Source organism: Homo sapiens, chromosome 7 (assembly GCF_000001405.40).
Source record: "Homo sapiens chromosome 7, GRCh38.p14 Primary Assembly".
NCBI lineage: Eukaryota > Metazoa > Chordata > Mammalia > Primates > Hominidae > Homo > Homo sapiens.
Window position 1 is genome coordinate 156,294,954 of NC_000007.14, and position 23,481 is coordinate 156,318,434.

The window sequence follows — 23,481 nt, forward strand, 5'->3', positions numbered from 1 at the left end:
GTGAAGCCAGTTGCAGCAGAATACTGTCAGTGCTTCCAAATCTCTTCATCTCCCCACTTTTCTAGGTCCATAGAATTACATGCATCATTCTAAATGTTTTTTTAATCAGGTATTTATTACATTAGAATGTGTTTTTAATAAAATCCTATAATTCTTCCCAAAGATGAGCAACTGAGAACCCATGCTGAAATATAATTAGTTTAGTCAAGGTATACTGTAACTCAAAGATCATTTTTTTCAACTTCACAACACAACTATATTTAGAAATAAAAAGCACTAGGTGGAAAAGGCTAAAATTCTGGAATTCCTACTGTCACCATAAGTAAATGGCAAATCTCATTTGAAAGGGTTTTAAGTGTGCTTTGGCTACGGCGATTCTTTTGTTAGCCTGTTTCTCATAGCCCTCATTTCTGCAGCCAGCAGACAAGCTCTGTCCCAGACAAAAATTTCATGAAAATCACCATTTTGTTGAATGTTTTGTGAACTTATTTTAGGCCTAACTCCCAACAATGCATTCCCATCTAAACATCTAATGATTTACCATGTGAAACTAAAACACTCTACTGTATTTTAAAAACATCATAAATCCTGGATCATTCATTATTCCATTTGGAAAGAATCCTCTGAGCAATGATTTGAACAACATGGCAACCGTGTATCCCAGACGACAGTGATCCTTGGGGACATGAGAAGCTGGGCATTCAATACTCTCGTTTCCCTAAGGGTGGGGGAGGCACAGGGCAGGGGAAGGTCTCTCAGCATTGTTCACGTAAATAATAACAATAGGAGTTTCCAATCATGACAACCAAGATAACTCAGAGATGAAGAAAGGAAAGTAGTTACAACTGGTGGCTCTATTAAGAGGAACAAAAAAGGTTTGTTTAATAATTGTGGGACTTTGCAGCAACCGAATAAAGAAACTATGGTGCTGTCTTGCTCCAGGCCAAGTGAGTCTTGGAACGATCTCAGTGTTAACTGTAGAGGAAGCTAAAGTTGGATTATTTGATAGTGGAGACCATAATGGTTTCTATGAGATGAAGAATAATTAGGAAATCAATATAGGATAAGATTTCCAAATATTAGTAAAAGACACTTTTTTTCTTGTAACTCTGGCCCTCCCTTAGGAAAGCACATTTGAAGGTGTTTTGCTGGAAGTACAGATTGGGGAACAGCTGGCAGTGAACCCTTGCTTGGATTGAGTATGAGCCGAAGTGTTAGAAACTCCCAAGGTACCTAAACATGGAAACAGTAGGCCAGGCAAGCCCACCAAAAATAACATTTTATGCTATGTGGAATTTTGCACTTTACAAAGCGCTTTCACATCCCTTGTCTCATTTGCTTCTCGAGAATAGTTCTGTAGATAAGGCCAGCATTTTCACTTTCCCTCCATATACAACTGAGGCCCCCAGTGCTTCAAAGAATTGTCTAGATTCAGACATTGAATCAGAGCAGATCCCAGTCTTAGACCTGTAATCTAAACTCCTTTTATCTTCACCGCACTGTCTCTCAATATTGCCAACACAGTTTTTGGTAACTATTGTCTCCTCTCATTGCTAAACTTCCCAAAAGAGTAGTCTAAAGTTGATCTTTCCACTTTGTCACCTTCCACTGTTTCTGTATCCCATTTCTCACTGGCCTCCTGCCTTTAATAAAGTTAGGTTCCCCAGTGGCCACCTTGATTCTGGATTTAGTGGAACTTCTCTGCGTTTATTTTCCTTGACCTCTGAGCAGCATATTTCCACTCTGGTAGACAGAATCATTTCCCTTCCTTAGAGAAGCCCATGTCCAAGAAACTGTGAATTCTAGATTCTGGGACCTGTGAACATGTTAGGCTTCATGGCAAAGGGGAATTAAGGTAGCAGACAGCATTAAGGTTGTTAATCAGATGAACTTAAACTTGGACATTCTTCTGCATTACCTGGGTGGGTCTGAGGCAATCCTGAGAGTCTATAAGTGGAAGAAAGAGGAAGAAGAGGAGGAAGATGATCATGAACGAAGGAATGAGGCAACTTCTACAAGATGGAAATGAAAGAACCATATGCATTTAAAACACAGCCCGCTTCTGCAGACACACAAAAGTGGGCAGAGTTCATCACCAGAAGACTTACACTACAGAGAGTATGAATGGAAGTTCTTTGAGCAGCACGGAAAACAACACAACTTGAAAACCTAGATCAACACAAAGAAATGAAGAGCATCAGAAACGGTTACCACATGGGTAAACATAAAAAAATTCTTATTACTTGAATCCTATTAAAAGACAGTTGTATTATGGAGTTCATACCATGTGTAGAAGGAAAATGAATGACAGTAAGAGTATACAGTCTAGAAGGGGAAAAATGAAAATATATGCTTGAAAAGTTCTAATACTATACATATGTACTACATTATAATTTGCAAGTAGACTTTGATAAGTTCAAGACATATACTATAAACCCTAAACAAATCACTAAAATAACACAACAAAGGGTAATAACTAAAAAGACAAAAAAGGAGATAAAATAAAATTACAAAACATACTAAATCAATCTAAATAAAAAGAGCAAAAGAAAGAACAAAGAAACAGAATGAACATTAGTCAAAAGAAAACAAATAGCGAGATGATAGACTTAAATCCTACCATAGCAATAATTACATTAAATATAAACAGTCTACAATGGCATAGAATAGAGAACCCAGAAACCAATGCTCACATATATGGTCAACTGATATTTGACAAGATGGCAAGACGAGTTAATGAGGAAAGGGCAATCTTCAGCAAATGGTACCAGAAAAACTGGATATTCACATGTGAAGAATGAAATTCAACCCTTACCTTATGCCCTGTAGGTAAATTAACTCAAAATGGATCAAATACCAGAACCTAAGAACTAAAACTATAAAACTCTTAGAAAAAAAGAGGAGAAAATTTTCATGATATTAGATTTGGCAATAACTTCTTGGCTATGAGAAATAGTTAAATTCGATTTCATAAAAATTGAAAACTTTGAGGGCATTAAAAAGACAATCCACTGAGTAGGAGAAAATATTTGTGAATCATATACCTGATAAGGGATTAATATCCAGAATACATAAAGAATCTTAACTCACCACCCCCAACAACAACAACAACAGAAAAAAGCAATTTAAAAAATGGTCTAAAAACTTGAAAAGATACTTCTTTAAAGACATACAAATGGCCAATAAGCACATGAAAAGGTTCTTAGCATCACCAGTCATTAGGGAAATACAAATCAAAACCACAGTGAGATCCACACTCATTAGGATGGGTACTATCAAAAAACAGAAGATAAGTCTTGGCAAAGATATGAAGAAACTGAAATTGCTGGTGGGAATGTAAAATGGTACAGCCTTGGAAGAAAACAGTAGGACAGTTTCTCAAAAAGTTGAACATAGAATTACCCTATGGTCCATAAATTTCACTTCTGGGTATATCCCCAAAAGGATTGCAAGCAGGGACTCAAGCAGATGTTTGCATGCCAATGTTTATAGCAGCATTATTCACAATAGCCAAAGGTTGGAAATAACCCAAACGTCTATCAGTAGATAAATAGATAAACAAAATATAGTATATCCGTGCAATAGATTTTTCAGCCTTAAAAAGGAAGGGAATTCTGACACATGCAACAACCTGGATAAACCTTCAGGATGTTCTGCTAAGTGAAATAAGCCTGAACACAAAAGGACAAATACTGTATGATCTCATTTGTATGAGGCAAGTAGAATGGTGGTTACCACGGGCTGGGGTTATGTGTGATGGAATGAGAGAGGGTAGAATTGGGAGTTATTGTTTATTGGGTACAGAGTTTCCATTCGAGATTATTAGAAAAATTCTGAAAATTGATAGTGGTAGTGGTTACACATCATTATGAACATACTTAATGCCACTAAACTGTACACTTCAATGGTAAAAGTGATTAATTTTATGTCATGTATATGACAATAAAAAACAAAAAATACATATAAAGACTTTAACCATTCCCAAGTAAAAGGCAGAGATTGTCTGACTGAAAGAAAATAAGAAAGACCAAATGTATCTTACTTATAACGAACCTACTTTTATTTAAAAAAAAAAGACATCTCCCATGCTATTGCTAATCAAAATAAAGCTATCAGACAAAATAGATTTCAGAGCAAAGACTATTATAAGGTCTACTAGCTTTCTATTGCTATGTAACAGTATCGCCACACACTTAGCATCACACTTTTGCTGTCTCACAATTTCTGCAGGTCGGGGTCCAGCATGCCTCGCTGGGTGTCTGGTCATGAGGACTTCCCAAGCATGGCTTCCTGCCTCCACAGTCAGAAAGGAAGTGCAAGAGAGATGCAAGCAAGAGGGGCACTTTAATTATGAAACAAAATTACGTATTATTTACTTATAATTATGCACATGTGGTCACCTTTGCTGTAGTCTTTTGGTTAGAACCAAGTCACAGGTACTGCCCCCGTCATGGCAACGTCACACAGGGCATGAACTCCAGGAGGCAGAAACCATGGGGACTCTGTAAAACAATGCCCGTTATACAGAGATAAACATGGCCATTTCCAAATAATAAAAGAAGAATTCATTAAGAGGACACAGAAATTTTAAGTGTTTATGGATGTATTAACAGAACCTCAAAAGACATAAAGCAAAATCTAATAGAAAAAGGAGATACAGAAAACCCATACTTATAGATCCAAATGTCAACACCCCTCTCTCGAGAATTCAAGTAAGCAGAAAGTCGGTAAGATATAAAAGATTTCAACAACACTATCAACCAACATGACTTAATGGATCTCTATTGAAAACTCCATCTAAAAACAGCAAAATACACATTGTTTTCAAGAGTACTTGGAACATTTTCCAAGACAAACTACATTATGGGCTATAAAACAAGTCTAAATAACTATAAAAGCATTCAAGTCATACCACAATGTTCTCTGATAACAATAAAATGAAATTAGAAATTAATAACAAAGATATTTGGAAAATCTTAAAATATTTAGGAACTAAATAACATCTCTAAAAAAATTTTTTTTAAAAACTTATCTTCAGCAAAGAGAGCAAAAGAGGAATTAGAAAATATTTTGAACTGAAAAAAAATAAAAATTCAACATGTTGGCCAGGTGTGGTGGCTCATGCTTCTAATCCCAGTGCATTGAGAGGCCAAGTCAAGAGAATAGCTTGAAGCCAGGAGTTCAAGACCAGCCTGGGCAACATAGTGAGACCCTGTCTCTACAAAAAAATTTAAAATTAGCCAATGTGGTAGCATGCACCTGTAGTCCCAGCTACTCAGGAGGCCGAAGTAGGAGGATCGCTTGAGTAGGCTTGAGACTGAGGCAAGATGATTGCTTGAGCAAGTCAAGGCTGCAATGAGCTATCATCACACCATTACACTCCAGCCTGGGCGATAGGGAAAGATGCTGTCTCTAAAATGCACACACACACAATTCAATATGTTAAAAAAAAGTATGGGATGCCACTGAAGCAGTACTTATAGGGAAATTTATAGCACAAAATATCTATACTCAAAAATAGACAGGTCTCAAGTCAATGATCTTAGCTTCTTAAGAAACTAGAGAAAAAAAGAGCCAACAGAAACCGAAATAATAATAATAAAAATCAAAGTGGAAAATAATACAAGTAGAAAATAGAAATATAATAGAGAAAATCAATGAAACCAAAAATGATACCTTGAGAAAATTAGTAACATCAGTAACTTATAAAAGACTGATTTTTAGAAGTGAGAGAGGAGGAAGATGCAAATCACCAATATCAGGAATGAGAAATGTGACATCATTAGAGATCCTACAGATATGAAAAGTACAATAAGAGAATATCATAAATAACTTTGCACCAAGAAATTGGACAACTTAGATGAAATGGTAAATTTCTTGAAGGACACTATCAGATTTTACTAAATAAGAAACAGGTAAATTGAATACCCCAAAATTTATCAAAGAAATTCAATTCATAGTTGAAAAACTTTTCACAATGAAACCTTCAGGCCCAGAAGGCTTCACATCTGAGTTCCTCAAATATCTAAGGAAAACCAATAACAGCTCTATACAAACTCTTCCAGGAAATTGAAGAGAAGGACATACTTCTTAACTCATTCAATTCAGTCATCATTATTCTCACACTACAATCAAAGACATAACATTTAAAAACTCACAGTCAATATCCCTCATGAACATAATAATCAAGTGGAATTTATCTCAGGAAGGCAAAGTTGTTTTGGCACTCAAAATCAATCCATGTAATTCAACTTATTAACACACTAAACACCAAACCATACGATAGTCTTGCAGAAAAGGCATTTGGCAAAATCCAACATCCATTCATAATTTTTAAAAATCTCATCAAACTAGGAAAAAGAATCTCCTCGGCCTGATAAAAGACATTTATGAAAATGATAAAGCTGACCCATACCTAATGGTAAGAGACTGAGTGATTTCCATCTAAATTCAGAAACAAGACAAGGATGTCTGCTCTCATCCCTCTATTCAACATTGCATTTGAGGTTCTAGCCAGTGCAATAAGAAAAAAAAAAGAAAGAAAGAAAAGAAAAAAATAAATTAACATCCTGTTGGAAAATTGGGAGTTAAGTAGCATTTCTTATGAGATGACATGACCATCTATCTAGGAAATCCTGTGGAATCTATAAAGATACTACTGGAAGTGAATTGAGTGAGATTGCAGAATATGAGACGGATATTGTTTTGGAGTGAATTGCGTCAGCCTAAAATGTATATGTTGAAGTCCTAATCTCAGTACCTCAGAACGTAACCATATATAAAAATAAAAACTTTAATGAGATAATTAAGCTAAAATAAGAAAGAGCTCAGAAGAAATCAACCCTGAGGTCATCTTAATCTTGGATTTCTCCAGAACTGGGAGGTGAGAAAATAAACGTCTAATGTTTAAGCCACTCAGCCTGTGTGGTATTTTGTTATAGAAGCCTTAGCAAGCTAATACAACATACATAAAGCATTTGTATTTCTCTATTCCAACAACAAACAATCAGAATTTGAAGTTAAAAACGTAAGACCACCTACCATAGATCAAAATATAAAGTGAAATTCTTAGAAATAAATTTGAGAAATGTGTAAAAACTGTACCTTGAGAACCACAAAACATGCAGAGAAAAAAAATAGCAGAATTAAATAGACAGCTACAAGATGTTCATGGATCAGAACACTTAGTATTGTTGAGATAATGGTTCTCCCCAAAGTGATCTACAGACTCAATGTACTCCCAATCAAAAGCCTAGCTGGCTTTCTTTTTTTGAAGAAATTTAAAAAGCTGATTCTCCAACTCACATGGAATACAAAGGATCTCAAATAGCCAAACAACTCTGTAAAAGCACAATTTGTAAACATATGTACTGATAAATTAGGTTTCTTCAACATTTAAAACTTGTTCTTCAGAAGACACTGTTAGGAGAATGCAAATATAAGCCACAGGCTGGAAAAAAATTGAAAATAATATCTGATTTTAAAAAAAAGTATCCAGAACTTTCAAAACTCAATAATAACAGAACAATCTAATAAAAAGTATGAATGAACACTTCATCAAAGTGATAGACAGGTGGCAGATAAGCACCTGAAAAAGATCCTCAACATCATTAGTCATTATAAACATGCAAATTTAAACCATAATGCGATTAGACACCTATAAGAATGGCCCGTGTGAAACTGAGACATTGGTCATACCAAGCACTGGCAATGACACAATGCCCTTGGAACTCTCCCACCTTCTGTTTAGAATATGAAATTAAGGGCCGGGTGCAGTGGCTCATGCCTGTAATCCCAGCATTTTGGGAGGCCGAAACGGGCAGATCGCAAGGTCAGGAGATCGAGACCATCCTGGCTAACACGGTGAAACCCCATCTCTACTAAAAATACAAAAAATTAGCTGGGCATGGTGGTGGGCGCCTGTAGGCCCAGCTACTCGGGAGGCTGAGGTAGGAGAATGGCTTGAACCCGGGAGGCAGAGCTTGCAGTGAGCTGAGATCACACCGCTGCACTCCAGTCTGGGCGACTGAGTGAGACTGTCTCAAAAAAAAAAAAAAAAAAAAAGAATATGAAATTAAGACCTCATTTTAACTTTATTACGGTACTTTTAGAAACAGGCAGTTTCTTTAAAAAGTTAAACATGCACCCATTTTACAACCCATTTTATGACCCAGCCATTCCATTCGTAAGTATTCCCCAAGAGAATTGAAAGCATATGTCCACACAAAGAATTATCCATGATAGCTTACAGCATCTTTATTTGTAATAGCCACAACTGTAAACAGCCCAAATGCCCACCAACAGGTGACTGGAATAACAAATTGTGCTATATTATAATAATACAGTAGAATCCTACTAGCAATAGAAGAATGAATTGTTGATATGTATAGTAATATCTCAAAATAATTATGCTGTGCAAAGAAGTCAGAAAAAGTGAATGTATACACCTTATATTTCCATTTACATAAATGTCTAGAAATTGTAAATGAATCTCTAGTGACAGGAAGCTGATCAGGATGGTCGGGGTAAGAGCAGGGACCAGGCCTTACAGAGCAGCATAAAGAAGGTTCGGGGGCTGTGTCCATTGTCTTCATTGTGATGACGGCTTCACAGGTATATACAGATGTTACATTTGTCAACTTGTACACTTTTTTTTTTTTTTGAGACAGAGTCTTGCTCTGTCACCCAGGCTGGAGTGCAGTGGTGCGATCTCAACTCACTGCAACCTCTGCCTCCCAGGTTCAAGCGATTCTCCTGCCTCAGCATCCCAAGTAGCTGGGATTACAAGTGCTTGCCACCACGCTCGGCTAATTTTTGTATTTTTTTTAGTAGAGATGGGGTTTCACCATGTTGGTCCCTGTCTGGAACTCCAGGCATGAAGTGATCCACCCACCTTGGCCTCCCAAAGTGCTAGGATTACAGGTGTGAGTCACCATGCCCAGCAAATTGTACACTTTTAAGGGGTGGAGTTTATTGTGTGTATCAATCTTATAACCCAAGGATACTGTTAAAAAATTGTGATAGTATATTTTTCCAATTTTGATATCTACAACAACAAATTGTCATCAACAGGTCATTCAAACTGGCGGTGGCATCTTTTTGACGCATCCCCACCATGCTTCGAGCACTTCCTATTGCAGGCTCATCTCATTCCCTGGCCCAGCCCAGCCCTTAAATCAACCTTTTCTCCAAAGAATGCTCTGTCCTTTCATTGCAGAATGGGATTCAGAAACCAAAGCCTGGGCACGTGGCATGCTCATTGCTTTAGGGTGTCTGAGCTTCCAGGTCCTCTTAGCAAAGCCAGGAATCTACGTAAGAAACACAAACACAGGAACACTCACCTGTATCTGCTCCCCCAGCAAGCTGGTGACCTACCTAAGTATATTAAAACTATGAGTTCATACTAATACCTCCAATTCCAGTTCAACATGCAGGGTTTATACACAATTTCTGAAAGAAAATGCTCACCTTTGAGCCATTCTATTAAATGAAAGAACAGCATCAAGAAGGTGGCTTAAGCCCACAAAACCAAGGGCACATAAAAAATAAAGGGCTGGCTTGCAGGCCTATGGACCAGGGCACCCCCACCGAGACCAATTCTGCCGTTCTCGCTCTGTATCTGCAGACATCCCTTCCGGATTTTCTTCCTAATTCCACATATGCAATGCTTTCGAGGCCTACGATATGGAAGAGTCTTTGCTGGCCATTGAAGTTTAAAGAGGTGATTAAGGAGACCAGACTTCATCCTTAAGAAACCTACCAAATAGGGGGAATAGGAGACACATATACTACACACACACACACACACACGCACACACACACAGGCACACCCCTCTAAAATAAAGCAGTGTATGCTAAGAACCAGGGAGGAAGGTGTTGACTTTGTGGCTCAAGGTGGCACTGAATGAGATGATTTCTGCAAATCATTTGGTGCAGTGCCTAACGCAGGGTAAGCACTCAATAAACAATACCTGTTTTGTGGTAAGAAGTGGAAAACCCAGCCCAGTCGCCTCTAGAGCGTCTCATCTCACAATGAAGATTGCAAGATCAAATCCACCAGAGAGGCTGGGGAGCCTTGGCGTTCTCTCCAAGCTCACAAGACTAAAAAGGCAAAATAAATTTCACGCAATCAAGTGTAATCAGCAGCTCTTCTTGTGAAATCCAGGGTCTCGCATCTTCCTCCTGGCAGGTTCTCTTCTGACTCATCTCTTCCCTTTCCCTGGAATCCAAGGTCCCCCATCCCCGCCTTGGAGTCCCTGCCGTGTGTCCCACCAAGTGATGGTTTCAGGGCCCCTCGAAGCAAGAATGCATCCTCTCCTGCTTTTTCCTGTCCAGGTTAGAGGAGGAAAGTGAGTATATTCAGTCTGGAACCTGAGCACCTGTCCTTTGTATTAAATACCTACGCCAGGCCAAAGTTCTGATTCCTGGCTCAGAGCAGGTTTGGATGGGAGAGAGAGGGAAACGGTACAAGGGCAGGGAGGTGGAGGGGCCTCAGGACCGGGTGCAGCAGGAAAGCAAGACGAATGGAAAAGCACTTACTAATCATCCCGTGAATAAATGAACACAAGGAGCCAGGAATAAATGCAGGCATGCATCCGCGAAAGAATGTGTAACCCACACGTCACGGTTCTTACCCCACCTGCTAAACCTGAATCCCTTCCAAGATGTCTCTGACTTGCCTGGATGTCTCTGTCATATTTGCAGGTGTTGCCTCCAATGGCTTCTGGGACCTATTCCTGCTCGGGACATGGTCCTGCTGGGCCCCACTGTCCCCTCCCCACCCCAGGGACTGTGACAGCCAGCACAGTGCTGCAGGGTGCATGCTCTGCCCAGAGCCACAGAGCGCATCTCTCGTCCTCTCAGCATTTCCACCACCACCCACATCCTGCTGCAAGCTTGGGGTCTGGGGCCTCCAGCATCTCCAGCGTCCCACAGCCTTTTTACAATGGAGTTATTGCATTTCTGTCCACAGCTCATGATAACGAGGGGAGCTGAGTCTGATGCAGCTGCTGAGGGAAGTCCTCCTGATGGTCCCTGACTTAGGATGGCTCCACTAACAATTTTTTCATTTTTCAACCTTACAATGGGGTGAAAGCAATAGCAATTCAGTAGACACCATCATTCCAGTTTTGCATGGTGATCTTTTCCTGGGCTACGGATATGCAGTATCATACTCTTACTATAAAAAAGGACTTGTGTTAGCTGCTTTTTCCCCACTGTAGGCTAATGTAAGTGCCTGAGCACACTTGTGCTGAGCTATGGTGTCCTGTAAGTTAGGTGTATTAAATGCAGTTTCGACTTTTGGTATTTTCAGTGCAATTGGCATATTGGGATGGGGCCCCACTGTAAGCTGGGGGGCATCTGTAAAACTGAATGCTGCAGAGAAAACAATAGGATGACAGTGTGAGATCATGACTGTGCCCACAGTTCCTGGTGGGAATCAGGACAAGGACATGAACAGGGAAGGGAACCACATGAAGCAACACAGGATCCCACAGTCACAGTCCCTGGTGGGAATCAGGACAAGGACATGAACAGGGAAGGGAACCGCATGAAGCAACACAGGATCCCACAGTCACAGTCCCTGGTGGGAATCAGGACAAGGACATGAACAGGGAAGTGAACCACATGAAGCAACACAGGATCCCATAGTCCGTTCTGCAGCCCATCCCTCCAGGGTCAGAGAGGAGGGCTTGTCACAATAATAGCCTGGACAGAGAGCTGGGAAACCAGATTCAAATCCTAGTTTTGCCTCCAGCTCATCAGCAAAATAAGAAAAAAATCATCAAACCGCATTTGAATTTTCACAAAATCGACAGTGCTTCTAACCAGCAAAACAATAGCAAAGCCATATTATCTGTGATTTGCAGCAATTTATTGAGTTAGTTCGTTAGTTACTTATTCATTCGTTACAGACGGCTTTGAGAATCTGATGAAAGCTCTAAGCCCACTCTCCAGACAAACGCCTGCGTGGACAGTCCCATGACATTTTGCATCCAATTGCTGGTTAAGCGTTAAGGGTCCCTAATATACATTCATTTAGAACTTTCCATTGTTCAAAGTGCTTTCATGCCTGTTATTTTATCCTACCCTTTTCTTGAGATCGAATAAACATATTCAGTAATGAGCACATTTGTGCTGAGCTATGGTGTCCTGTAAGTCCTAAAACCCTATCCTGATTCAGGTGTCTAAACTGTAACAAAGCACATACTGCTACCAACCGCAAGATTCTGAGGCCTAGGAAATCGTGGATTACCTGAAAATGTCCTCTTGTATTTCATAATCCAAACTCCAGGGCTGAAGGAAGAAAACATAGAAGACAGGGTAGGGAGAAGTTTTGATGTGGTTCTTCATCTCAAAACTACTAACAGTAGAAGGTTTTGAAAACAATAGAGCCCTCCCCAGACCCCGTCCAGTAGCGTTGACCACCCATAACCAGCAGGTGGAATCCGCTGAACTTCAGAAGAGAGGCTGGCCTCTGGTAATCACGGGCAGGAGAGGAAAATCCTTCCATGGCAGAGGGTTTGGTCTTGGGAGTCCCAGGATCTCCCGGCACCCCCACCACAGCTCAGCAAGGGGCCTGCCGGAGGAGGCAGGGGGCCGAGGGACTCATTAGCACCCCAGAGAAAGGGGCGGCTCCTCGGAGACAGGCCCTGAGCAATTACAGGGTGGCCGAGATGAATCAAAGGGGAATGATGATGGATTCCCCTCATATCGGGAGCAATCAGCATAATTTATCTCCAAATCAGCAGCGAGACGCGGAGGCAGTGTGCCTGACGCATGGGCAGGCGGTGTGACAGAAATTGTTTTTTAAGTAGTTGCCCTCTGAAAATATTACCCTCTCCCTGACACTGGGTATAATGAGACCTTGATTATCTGTCAGGCCTGTGAAATTAGGAGTGGTTATCGAGGATACGGGAGCCAGTTGAAGCTACCCCTTTCCAAAGTGCTCTCATTTTTTTCCTCTCTGTAGCATCGCTCTTTGTTCTTATTCATGCCCTTCCTGCTTTCTTTTGGACTTTCTCTGTTGCCTGCCCTTGTGAGAAGCAACGTGCCCTTTCCTGCACCCACCATGCAGTGCTGGGGGTGAAGTCAGTGCACACAGAGTGGCAAATCCTGAGAAGTAATGAGGCCGTAGTGGATGCCAAACAGTCCTCTGATAACACTTGAGGAAGGCAGTTCCTCGGAGAGCCATTTCTCTTTGCTAAGTTCTATCCATATTTCCGATTTTGTTCTAACTCAAGGAAAACAAAGACGGAACAGGCTAAGACTGATAGGGAACTGGCCGTCCCTTTCCCAATACATTTTATTCACTTATGGAAAAAAATGATAAGGAAAAGAGTGAACAATAGGCTTTCCTCTTCCGGGGAGCAGACCCTTTTGCTGTGAGTCCCTGGAGGAAGTCTGTAAAATGCAAGGGGGTGGGTGGAGAACTAGGTAGCAGGAAAGACCACGGAGGCTGAGTGCTCCCTGCTCTGAATTCCTTCTCATTGCCCCACTGGCCTGGGGTCAGACATCTGCGAGTGTCATCTTTTATTACCTCAGATTATTTGCTCCATCTCAACAGTGACTTGTAGAGGTTAGAGACCTGCCCGTGAATCTTCACACAGCAATACTGTTCTAGGCTGGTGAGGAAATTTCACTTTGCTTAAAATTGGGCATTCATTCATTCATTTCTTCAATAAATATTCAGTACTAACTTTAGGCAGGGAGACTGGAGGAATAAAAAGATAAATCTAAAACAAATCCTGCCATCGAGAAACCTAAATGAATAGTTGATAGAAAGATCAAATTAAATGAAAGATGGTGCTTTGCAATTGCCAATGTTGCAAATGTAAGATGTTGTTGTTTTACTTCTCCGGCTCCCCAAATGGCAACTGATGTTTTGCATGTAGACTGTGCTCAGTGTTTGCTAATTGATTAAGCTGTACTGACTTTGGCAGAAAGCCTTAAAATGTTTTCTGGCAGCAAAGGAAAAAATATATTTATCTACAAAGGAGAGATTTAAAATTCCATTGTATCAAAACCAGTGACAATGCCTTAAGACTTGCATTCTATTTCCCAAATAATCCTATGGTGTTGAAGGACCTTCTCTAGTTGTCGAAAGCATCACTCAGGAGAAGCAGCAGCAGTGTCTGGAATACTAAGTGGGCACGAAGGCAGCTCTCCAGCAAGCCGCTCTGAGCTGCTGCTGGGCCAGAGACGGCAGCCAAGACTCCAGCCCCAAAGGAAGGAGCCGCTTAACTCACTCCCTGGAAATCCACTGGCACTGAATAACGTTCTCAATCTGAAGCTGTTTGTTGTAATCGGCTGGAACAATTTGATAAATCTCTCATTACATCCCGAGAAACTATGACATCTATTCTACTATCAGCCAATTGAAATGGCAAACATAACAGGACCTTGGCTCTTCCTGAACAGTCTGGCACGGTTATGGGACAGAAATTCCATCTCTCACGGAACGTTGTTGCTGCTTCATGGCGGGAGAGAGTGGGAATGCGGGGCTGGTGTGACGATGGAGGGAGCCCTTTCCAGGCATCCTCAGCTGCTAGCACTGCTGGGAGAAACTAAAGCACCTGTCCATTTGCTTCTTTTATTTGTCACGGCTAGACTGGATTTGAAAATAGAACTCCCTGAGCAATGAGAACACTTGGACACAGGGAGGGGAACATCACACACCGGGGCCTGTCAGGGGGTGGGGGCCTAGGGGAGGGAGAGCATTAGGACAAATACCTAATGCATGTGGGGCTTAAAACCTAGACGACGGGTTGATAGGTGCAGCAAACCACCATGGCACATTTATACCTATGTAACAAACCTGCACGTTCTGCATATGTATCCCAGAACTTAAAGTAAAACAATAAATAAATAAATACATAAATAAATAGAAAATGGAACTTTTTCTCCAATTTTATTGAGGCATACTTGACAAATAAAAATTGTGTCTATTTAAGATATATAATATGATGTTTTGATATACCTGTACATTGTGAAATGATTACCACAATCAAGGTAATTAATACATCCATCCCCTCACATAGTTACCTTTTTTTCCATTGGTGACAACAGTTAAGATCTACTTGCCTAACAAATGTCAGGTGTGCAGTGCAGCATTGCTAACTGTGGTCCCATGCTGTCCCAGAAGTTATTCATCCTGCATAACTGAAACTTTGTACCTGTTACCTGAATATCCACATTCCACACCCCACCCCCCACACTCTGCTCAGCCCCTGGACACCACCATTCTACTCTCTGGTTTTATGAGTTCAGCCTCTGTAGGTTCCACATATAAGTGAGATCACGCAGTATTTGTCTTTCTGTGTCTGGCTTATTTCCCTGAACATCATGTTCTCCAGAGTCGTCCGTGTTACAGCATGTGACAGGATTTCCTTCTTTTTTAAGGCTAAATAGTATTCCATTGTGTATACATACCACATTCTCTTTATCCATTCATCCATTGATGACACTTAGATTGATTCCACATCTTGGCTGCTGCGGATAGTGTTGCAGTAAACGCTGGAGTACAGACAGCTCTTTGACACACTGATGTCATTTCCTTTCAGTATATACCCTCCAGTGAGGTTACTGGATCACATGGTCACTCTATTTTTCATTTTTTGAGGAACCTCCATACTGTTTTCCATAACGGCTGTACCAATGTACACCCCCACCACAGTGTACAAAGATTTCCTTTTCTCCACACCCTCACCAACATTTATTATCTTTCATCTTTTTATAATAGCCATCCTAACAGATGTGAGGATAGCTCACTGTGGCTTTGATTTGCATTTCTCTGATGACTAGTGATGCTGAGCATGTTTTCATATACCTGTTGTCCATTTGTTTGGAGAAATGTCTGTTCAGGTCCTTTGCCTAGTTTCCAATCAACTTTTTGTATTTTTTGGTTCTGTTTTCCTTCGGGTTTTGCTATTGACCTGAGTCCCTTATCTATTCTGAATATGAGCCCCTTGTCAGATGAACAGTTTGCACGTATTAATTTCTCTCAGCCTATAGGTTGTCACTTCACTCTGTTCATCATCCTCTTTCTTGTGCAGAAGCTTTTCAGTTTGATGCAACCCGACTCGTCTATGTTTGCTTTTGTTATCTGTGCTTCTGGTGTCCTATTTTTAAAAAACACTGCCTGGACCAATCAAGGAGATTTTTCCCTATGTTGTCTTTTAGTAGTTTTACAGTTTCACATCTTACTTTTACACCTTTAATTCATTTTTGGGCTGATTTTATTAAGTGTGAGATAAAAATCTAATTTCTGCATGGGATTGTTCAGTTTTCCCAGGACTGTTTGTTGAAAACACTATCCTTTACCACTGCGTTCTTGGCACCTTTTTTGAAGATTACTTGACTGTAGGTGCATGAATTTATTTCTGGGCTCTCTATTCTATTCCATTAGTCTGTATGACTGTTTTTATGCTAGCATCATGCTGTTTTAATTACTGCCATTGATAATATTTTAAAATCAGAAAGTGTGATGCCTTCAGTTTTGTTCTTGCTCAAGATTGCTTTGGCTATCTGTAGTCTTTTGTGGTTCCATATGAATTTTAGGATTGCTTTTCTATTTCTATGAAAAATGTCATTGGAATTTTGATAGGGATTGCATTAAATCTTAAGATTCCTTTGGGTAGAATGGACATTTAACAACATTAATTCAATATGTGAGCAAAGAATATATTTTTATTTATTTGTGTATTTCTTTCTTCAATGTCTTATAATTTGCAGTGTACAGATATTTCACCTCCTTAGCTAAATTTATTCCTAAGTATTTTATTCCTTTGGATGCTATTGTAAATGAGATTGTTTTCAGATAGTTTATTGTTATTGTCTAGAAATGTAACTGACTTTTGTATGTTAATTTTGTATCCTTAAACTTGGCTTATCTCACTTATTAACTCTTACAGTTTTTTGGTGGAGTCTTTAGGGTTTTCTATATGTAAGGTCATATCATCTGCAAACAGAGAAAATTTGACTTCTGCCTTTGCAATTTGGGTGGCTTTTATTTCTTCCTCTTGCCTAATTGCTCCAGTATTATGTTGAATAGAAGTGGTGAGAGTGGACAACCTTATCTTGTTCCTAATCTTAGAGGAAAAGTTTTCAGCTTTTCACTAATGAGTGTAATGTTAGCTGTGGGCTTGTCATACATGGCCTTTATTATGTTGAGATATAGTCTTCTACACCTGATTTGTTGAGGGTTTTTATAATAAAAGAGCATTAAATTTTGTCAAATCCCTTTTTCCATTGATTGAGATGATTATATGATTTTTGTCCTTTATTCTATAAATGTGGCATATCACCTTTATTGACCCGCATGTGCGGAACCGTTCTTACATCCTAGGGAGAAATCCCTCTTGATCATGAGGTATGACACTCTCAATGCATTGTTGGATTTGGTTTGCTAGTTTTTGTTGGGGGTTTTTGAATCTATATTCATCAAGCATATTGTCCTTTAATTTTTTTTTCTAGTGCCCTTGTCTGGCGTTGGTATTTGGATATTGCTGGTTTTGTAAAATGAGTTTAGAAGTATTTCCTCTTCTTCAACTTTTTGGAAGAGTTTGAGACGGACTGGTGTTAATTCTTCTTTAAATGTTTTGTAGAAGTCACCCATGAAGCCATCTAGACCTGGATTTTTCTTTGTTGGGAGGTTTGGGAGTACTGATTCAATCTCTTTATTGGTTATTGGCCTGTTCAGATTTTCTATTTCTTCATGATTCAGTCTTGGTAAGTCATATGTTTCTAGGAATTTATTCATTTCTTCTAAATTCTCTAATTTGTTGGCATGTAATTGTTCATAGTAGTCTCTTATGATCCTTTGTATTTCTGTGGTAGCTGTTATAATGCCTTCTCTTTCATTTATAATTTTGTTTATTTGCATCATCTTCTTTTTTTGGTTAGTCTAGCTAAGGGTTTTTCAATTTTGTTTGTCTTTTTAAAAAGAGCAAGTACTGGCCGGGCACTGTGGCTCACGCCTGTAATCACAGCACTTTGGGAGGCCAAGACAGGCGGATCATGAGGTCAGGAGTTTGAGACCAGCCTGGACAACATGGTGAAATCCCGTCTCTACTAAAACTACAAGAAAAAAAAATTAGCCAGGCCTGGTGATGCACGCCTGTAGTCCCAGCTACTTGGGAGGCTGAGGCAGGAGAATCACTTGAACCTGGGAGGCGGAGGTTGCAGTGAGCTGAGGTTGTGCCACTGCACTCCAGCCTGGGTGACAGAGTGAGACTCCATCTCAAAAACAAAAACAAAAGAACAAAAACAAACAAAAAACACAAGTACTAATGTTGTTGATTTTTTTCTATTGTTTTTCAAGTCTCTATTTCATTTATTCCTGCCCTGATCTTTCTTGTTTTCTTCTTTCTCCTAACTTTGGGCTGATTTTGTTCTTCTTTTTCTAGTTCTTGGAGGTCTAATGTTAGGTTGTTTATTTGAGATCCTTCTTTTTTTCTTATCATAGACATTTATCATTATAAACTTCCCTTTTCAAACTGTTTCTGCTTCATCCCACAAATTTTGGAATGTGTATTTCCATTTTCATTTGTCTTAAGGTATTTTTTAATTTCCATTTTTATTTCTTTTTTGATCCATTGCTCAGGAGTATGTTGTTTGATTTTTACATACTTGTTAATTTTCTAGTTTTCTTCCTGTCTTTGATTTTTAGTTTTATACCACTGTGCTTATGAAAGATACTTGATATGATCTCAATCTTCTTAAATTTGTTGAGACTTGTTTTATGACCCAACATATGCTCTATCCTGGAGTATATTCCATGTGCACTTGAGAAGAATGTGCATTCTACTGTTTCATTAAATGTTATGTATAGTCCATTAGTTTCATTTGGTCCACAGCGTTGTTCAAGATTGCTGTTTCTTTATTGACTTTCTGTCTGGATAATCTATCCATTGTTGAAAGTGGGGTTTTGAAGTCCCTACTATCATAGCATTATTGTCTATTTCTTCATTTGTTTCTGTTAATATTTGCTTTCTGTATTTAGGTGCTCCAATGTTGGGTGCATTACAATTGTTATATAGTATTCCCCCCTTATCAGTGGTTTCACTTTCAGTGGTTTCTGTTACCCACAGTACAGTACAATAAGATATTTTGAGAGACAGAAACCATATACACATAACTTTTATTACAGTATATTGTTATAATTGTTCTGTTTTATTATTATTGTTGTTAATCTCTTACTGTGCCTAACTTACAAATTAAACTTTATCATAGGCAGGTATGTATAGGAAAAAACATAATAAATACAGGGTTTACTACTCTCCATGGTTTTGGGGCATCCCCCATGGATAAGGGGGACTACTCTATACGCTTGATGAATTGACCCCTTTATCAGGATAGAGTGAACTTCTTTGGCTCTTGTGACAGTTTTTGACTCAAAGTCTATTTTGTCTCACATAAGTATAGCCAGCCCTTCTCCCATATTCATGGAATATCATTTCTTTATTCCTTTACCTTCAACCTATTTAGGTTCTTAAAGCTAAAGTGAATCTCTCGTAGGTACCATATAGTTGGATTTTGGTTTTTTTTTTCTATCAATTCAGCCACTCTGTGACTTTTGATTAGAGAATTTGATCAATTTATAATTAAAGTAATTATTCATAGATAAGGACTTTCTATTGCCATTTTGTGAATTTTTTTCCAAATGTAGTTCTTCATTCCTTTCTTCCCCTCTTGCTGTCTTCTTTTGTAATTGATAATTTTTGTAGTGATATAATTTGATTTATTTCTCTTTATCTTTTGTGTGTATCTGCTATACCTTTTTTCTTAGTGACCACTGAGGCTTACATAAAATATAGCTATAATAGTCTACTTTAAGCTGCTTTAAGAGTTTAAGCACATACAAAACTGCACTTTTATTTCTTCACCACATCTTTTATGTTATTGATATCATAAATTTACATTTTTATATTGTGTATCCATTAATAAATTATTGTGGATATAGTTATTTTTAATATTTTTATCTTATAACTCTTATACTAGAGTTAAATCTTTATGTACCACCATTACAGTAATAGAATATTCTGAATTTAACTATATACTTACCTTTACCAATGAGTCCTATACTTTCGTATGTTTTCATGTTATTAATTAGCATCCTTTCATTTTAACTTAAAGAGCTCTCTTTAACATTTCTTGTAAGGCAGGACTAGTTGTGATGAACACTCTCAGTTTTTGTTTGTCTAGAAAAGTCTTTATCTCTTCTTCATTTCTGAAGGACAGTTTTGCTACATAAAATATTCTTGGTTTATAGTTTTTTTTTTCTCAGCACTTTGAATATACCATTTCACTCTCTCCTGGCTTTCAAGGTTTCTCCTAAGTAATACACTGATCATCTTATACGGACTTCTCTTGTACGTAATAAACCTCTTTTCTCTTGCTGCTTCCAAAGTTCTCTCTTTGTCTTTGACTTTTGACAATTTGAATATGGCCTGGTGCAATCTTCTTTGAGTTGGTCCTGTTTGGACACCTTTAAGCTTCATGAACCTGGATGCCCATATCTTTCCTAAGATTTGGAAAGTTTTCAACCATTATTTCTTTAAATAAGCTATATGCCCCCCTCCCCCTCCCCTTTTCTCTTTTTGGAACTTCCATAATGTACATATTGGTTTGATTAATAGTGTCCCATAAAATCCACAGGCTTTCTTTATTCTTTTTCATTCTTGTTTCTTTTCTCTCCTTTGAGTATTTCAAATGACCTATCTAGAAATTTAAAGATTCTTTCTTCTCCTTGAGAAGTCTGCTTTTAAAGCACTCTATTGTATTTTTCATTTCATTCATTCTACTCTTCAGCTAAAGAATTTCTGTTTGGTTCTTTTTTATAACCTCTATCTCTTTGTTGAACTTCTTGTTTTGTTCATGTATTTTTTCCCTGATTTTGTTGAATTGTCTATGATCTCTTGTAGCTCACTGAGCTTCCTTATAATAATTATTTTGAATTTTTGTTATTCAATTCATAGGTATCCATTTCTTTGGGGTTGGTTACTTACTGGAAAAGTATGCTCCTTTGTTGGTGTCATATTTCCTTGATTTTAATGTTCCTTGAAGTCCTGCATTGCTGTCTTTGCATTTGTTGTTGTTGTTTTGTGTTGTTTTATTTTGTTTTGTTTTGAGATGGGGTCTCTCTCTGTAACCAAGGTGGAGTGCAATGGCATGATCTCGACTCACTGCAACCTCCGTCTCCTGGGTTCAGGCAATTCTCCTGCCTCCGCCTCCCGAGTGGCTGGGATTATGGTGCCCGCCACCATGCCCATTAATATTTGTATTTTTAGGAGAGATGGGTTTTCACCATGTTGGCCAGGCTGGTCTCAAACTCCTGACCTCAGGTGATCCACCCGCCTCAGCCTCCCAAACTGCTAGATTTACAGGCATGAGCCACTGTACCTGGCCCTTTGCATTTGAAGACATGGTCACCTCTTCTAGTCTTTACTGACTGGCTTTGAGAGAGAAAGACCTGCAGTCAGCTCAGTGAGGGATTTGAGGGTCTCTCAGATCTTTTCTGGAGATATGCCCACTTCACTCCCCTTGCTTACTCTTGGGAGTGGACAGAGTCTTATAATTATAAGCCTTCCCTTCATTCCCCAAAGCCAGGTCAAGTCCAGAGTGTCTTCCATTTATTTGTCCTAGTGTAGTGTCCTGACTTGTTCAAAGTTGTGTGCCTTCTTCCAGTCTCGCAGAGTTGAGCCAGCTATCTACATGTGTTTGTGCACAATCTACAGAGACTAAGACACACAGTCTGCAGGGCTATGCACAGACTGCCAGCTATAGGGGGTGTAGAGGAAATGCATGGAGTGTGGGGAGTATGCATGGGCTATTTGGTGGGGGAGGGGGTCCACAGTTGATCCATCCTACATGGTTTGTGGGCAAACCTCTTGGTGAAGTGCATAAAGTTGTTAGTAGAAACTGAACCCATTGTTGAGTTCTGCACCCAAATGCTGTGAGCCCCTGCTCCCTTTCTTTGATCACAGCTACATCCAAACTGTTCAGCCATGCCAATCTCCTCAGTGTCCTGGTATAGCGAGAAAGGCGTGAGCCTCTCAGGTAGGTGGAGAATCTGGGCACTCACTACATTCTCATGTTTCCCCTTGGGAAAAATCACAGGCCAAGGAGGTCTCCTATGACACTAAGCAGTGCCATTTTGAGGGAGAGGTAATGTGGGTAACATGAAACTATTCTTCTTACCCTCTTCAATGTGTCTGCTATTGGATTTTTTGCTCCAAATGGGTGCTGGGACCTCTCCACTGAACTCTCAGGCTTCCACGAAGGTACTCTCATTCATGGATGTTTGAAAACTCCTGCATTTGGCCTTTAAACATAGTGTTCCACTATCACATTTACTATAATAATGAAATGAAAAATAATGTATTTATAAGATCTTATAGAAAAACTTAAAATATATAAAAATAGTGTTTTATAAAAACACATATGCGCCATGGTATAATTAGGTTTGGTGGTCACATAGTACATTTCATTACCTGGGTTCTGATGGATATAAAAAACTTTCTTGCTTTTGTATACTTTAATTGCTTGGCTTCCAGAATGGGGTCTGTCAGAAAGCCTTTAGAATAAAGGGAAATATTATCCACAGGAGCAGAGTGATCTTGTGGGAAGAGCTCGGAGTAAAGTTTCAGGGCCCAGGTTCTACCCCCAAGCTCATCATCCGCAAACTATCTGGCCATGCACAATTCCTCAACCCTATATATCAGTGTCAATAAAACAAGTCAAAGAATCTTATGGTAGTAAAGCCTAGACTATGAATGCCACAAAACTTTGGTTATTCAATAAGATTAGTGAATAAATATTGAAAGACCGAAGTCCCATTACAATGGCAGAGGTTTCTACCGTGATTATGTGAGCCTGAATATTTAAGTAATGACAGAATTTTTTCTTCAAAATCAGACCTTGATTGAGCCCCAGCTCTAAGAGGAGTTTGGGTGCCAGGACAATCGCCATTCTGATTCACTGGAGATCTACACCGGTAAATGAGGCAGACAGCCTCTGCCTGCTATTGCCATTCATTGGTAGAAAGTATATGAAAACACAAGCTTTCGCAAAAAGTAACAAAAGTAAAAGATGATTGTTTCTGTAGTGTTATCTTTTTCCCTCTACTATAAAGGAGGATGACGTTTTGTGACACCTCATCCTATTTTCCTTGGTTCTCCTGTAACTTTATGGACAGAGATGAACCGAAGCATCCCCTTCTGGTGGTGGAGTTTCATGTTTATAAAAGATGTGAAGTTTCCATATGTAAAATATGATCACCAGACCTCAAGAAACACATAAAATAAGCAGGAAGCAGTCAGAAAAAATAACAGTTATCAAGAAGGGGATTGGAAAGAAAAGAGAGAGAGAAAAGGAGAGAGAGAGAGACAGAGAAAGAGAGAGATCTTTAACCAAAAAATGCCAAAGCTTGGAAGAGAAGAAATTTAAAAATAATCAATAGTAGGATAAACAGCTGCAGTA